At 39.0% G+C, this 3,647-nt stretch overlaps 2 annotated features.

Annotated features, from left to right (window-relative positions):
• Positions 2,329-2,378: an enhancer, noted in NCBI's record as "active region_25155". NCBI's record gives its function as "activates an Ori minimal core promoter by ATAC-STARR-seq in GM12878 lymphoblastoid cells {active_cell/tissue: GM12878}" and the evidence as "EXISTENCE:reporter gene assay evidence [ECO:0000049][PMID:35858748]".
• Positions 2,559-2,648: an enhancer, noted in NCBI's record as "active region_25156". NCBI's record gives its function as "activates an Ori minimal core promoter by ATAC-STARR-seq in GM12878 lymphoblastoid cells {active_cell/tissue: GM12878}" and the evidence as "EXISTENCE:reporter gene assay evidence [ECO:0000049][PMID:35858748]".

The raw sequence follows: 3,647 nt of genomic DNA on the forward strand, positions 1-3,647 counted from the left end.
AACAATTTATCATAAATAATAGTTTCGTACTGGCATAAGAACAGACAAATTTTCAGTGGAATAGAATGGAGAGGCCAGTTAACAGGGTGTAGATGACATCTCAACAGTCTTGACTTGGATTTCCTTGCTCACCAGTGAGACTATCACTTCATATGACACATTTATACATGGAAATTTGTCACATGATGGGGGTGACATAGTTGAGCAGTAGAGAAAGGAAGGAATCTTTAAAAAGTACAGTTGGAAAACTGATTATAAATATAGATAAAATTGAATTTGGATTCCTAGCTCCTAGTCTGCTTAAAAATCAATTACAGACAGAGTAAGGAATTTATATGTCAAAAACAAAACTTTATGAGAGGAATATATATGGGTAAATAGTTTTCTGACTTGAGAATAGAAAAGAATTCCTTAAACAAGACCAAATATGATATCCTAAAAGAACATATTGACAAATGCGTTGAACAACTACACTACACTCCAGGTCCTCCCTCCAAAATCCTAAACCCAAATCTCATCACGTTTTTCAGTGAAATAAAAATACCTTCTGTTTCCAGCAAGCATCCTCCATAAAAGGCTTTGAAGTTATTAATATAATTAGCAAAAAATTCAGTACAGTATCTATTTTTAAACAGCGGTATTAAATTATAAGAACTATTTGTCCATTTACCCTAGTTCCTTGGAAGGCCGTGCGGAAGAATCAAATGCGCAAAGGTTAAAGCCCACAATTTTCTTCTTGAAGTAAATGGTAGCATTGTTAAGAAACGACCGAGGCCAATTTTCCTTTTTAACAGTGAGAACAACTTGTAACTAGAAGTCAGAATCTCTATTCAAGTATTTTACACAGTTCTTCTGTGAATTGCATATAGTGGATAGGATCATATTGATCTGTGATGTCAAAATCCAGTGCAGAGGCTTCACAGAGGAAGTAAAAGGAGATAAGATGACTACTCACCACTGCTCTGGGCACCAAGGCCCAACCTCTCCTCCTCAGAGGAGGGCAGTTGTCCAGGTACCTTTTAGCCCCAGCTCACATCTGAGGCTCATTATTCCTGGGTGAGAAAGCAGCTTTGGGGCACTTTCTAGAATGCTCTATCATGTGCTAGAGAATGATAATGGTGAATTCCACAGAGAGTTGTGCTTGGAGGATTCCTTCATTCTCAGCTGGGAGAGACAACCACCCCCGGTAGTTGGCTTTAAAATTTTTTTTTATCTATCTATCTATCATCTATCTATCTATCGATATTTTCACCATGTAGCCCAGGCTGGTCTTGAACTCCTGAGTTCAAGAAATTGGCCCGCCTCGGCCTCCCAAATTGTTGGCATGAGCCACCGCACCTGGCCCCAGGTAGTATTTTTACACTTGTATTGTCCAAGTTTTAGCATGAAGTGTTGCTTTTTCTCTGGTGGTCTGGAAGAGTTCACCCTGCCTGTTAGTGTGAATTTTACCTGCTAGAAGTGTGTCTCCAACAGACATCATCCTGAGAATGTCAGTGGGGGACTCAAAAACGAGGGGGCATCTCCTTGCCAATGGGGCATCTCATAGTCGTCAATGCCACTAGCGGTTAACAGGAGTACCTCTGGATGTGCATGCTGTTTTAGGTAGGCCTTTTCGGGTTTTGAAAACTCACAAAGCAAGTGAGGGGACTGGAAATTGAATTTATTCTTAGATCCTTGTCTCAGAAATGTAAGCACAGGGCAAGAAAGTCAGCACAGTGCCCTGGAGTCCTATCTGATCTCCGGGTTTTGGGGGCACCTTCCAGAAGGTACAGGTGCCACAAATACCCCTGCAAGACTCAGTGGAAAAACTCTCACCACTATTCTTATGCCCAAGGGGCCACGCTGTGAGTGTCTGCATCTCCTCAACCACACAGGTCTTCTCATTGCATGCCTAGATAAGGCAGTTACATTGAAACTATTGCATCACCTTGCTGCAGTCATGTATGATTAACTAGATATGCTGGAAAGAGAGAGGAAGGAGGCTGGTTACCGAGTTTAAGGAGTGTCATTTATGGTAAAACACATTTTTCCTATAATAAAATCAATCATAGGTGGTGGCAATTGCTACAACATGCTTTAGTATTGGTTTGATTTCTCCATTTCTAGATAGTGTTTCCCATTAGGTTGTTTTTTTTTTTTTTTTTTAATCAGCCTCAAAGAAACCTTAAAATAAAGTTGTGACTGAGGGCGGGTGAAGGGGACATGGAGTATGATAGTCACTTTTGTTCCAGTGTTAATTTTCAAAAACTCCGGATGTCTAATATTGAAAGCCAGTCCAGAGCGCTCAGTGTTAAAGAACTCGCTCCCTACCCGCCCCCCCGCCACCCCAACTGCGGGGCTGAATCACACGAGGAAGGAAAGTCTGGCTCACTGCTTTATTAATTCACTACTGTGATTTCTTTCTCTGTTACTAAAGGGGACTGGGCGGGGGGTGGTAAATTGAGTGGGCAGCCAGGAAATGTGATATTTTTCTTGGTTCCTTGTGATTGGAGGAAATTCTGTCTTCTCCTTTTGGTTCAAAAGTTTTAGCAACATAACCTTTGGTTTTGTTTTGTTTTTCTGTGAAGTAATTTGACTTTTCAGTGGAAGCTACCCCAAGCCCACCTCTCTGGGGTTGTAAAACCCGCTCGCTTTGATACAATTTCATTAAATGAAGTCATCCAGATGGTGAGCCCATATAAAACCCTGACCTTCAAAGGTCTCTGCCTGTCTCTAGGTCCTTGGGTAATTTGAAGTGTCACTTCTTGGCCATGTCTGCTCAGACCTGTCACCTTAAATCTCCTCTTTGAACTTTATCTTACTTTTCTCCTTAATCTTCTTTTGATGGGAGGTGAACATTAATAGGAATGATCTTCAATGCCGGTTCTCTGAAGACCCGTAGTAATTGTTAGTAATCAAGCCTGATGTGATGGACAAAATACACATTATGTGTAAATGTCCCATGCAAAATGTGAGAAAGTTTAGATGATGTACAGCAGTTATTTTTAGTCCTTCGAATAAAACATACTCCTCACATACATACTCCTCACATTCGAGAGCAATATTATAAATAATGCAGCATTCATTTAATATAACCTCAGTATGTTTCATTTCAAAAGACCAACTGTAATTTCTATTTCTGTTTATTTTTAAAGAACTCTTCACTACTGTAATATTATATTTTAATAATAATAACAATGACCTGTATATATTACATACTTAATATATGACAGTCCATAAGCTAGGGTTTATAAAAATATATATGATCAAATTTCATCCTAACAATACATTATGTGTTAAGTATTATCCCCATTTGACAAACAAGAAAACTGGGTCTCAGAAATGTGCACAGTCATGTTTAAAAATCCTAACTCTCTATCTCAAAAACCCATCCTATGGTGTCTCTAAGAGAAATGTGTAGACTGCTCAAACTGGTTCTAATAAAGTTTTCCCTCATTTTGAATGTTTCTGTTCAGTAACGAAAAACTGTAAATAAATAATACAAAAAGCATATTTATAACCTAAGTATAAGGCCTAAGAATAATAATAAAATGGATACTTGCATACCCACCACTGAGCTTAAGAAATCAGACATTAGCAACACCTTTGAAGCCTTGTGTACCTTTCTCCCAATCTATTCATCTTCCCCAATCCAGAGACATGGTTTA

Source organism: Homo sapiens, chromosome 6 (assembly GCF_000001405.40).
Source record: "Homo sapiens chromosome 6, GRCh38.p14 Primary Assembly".
Classification (NCBI taxonomy): Eukaryota; Metazoa; Chordata; class Mammalia; order Primates; family Hominidae; genus Homo; species Homo sapiens.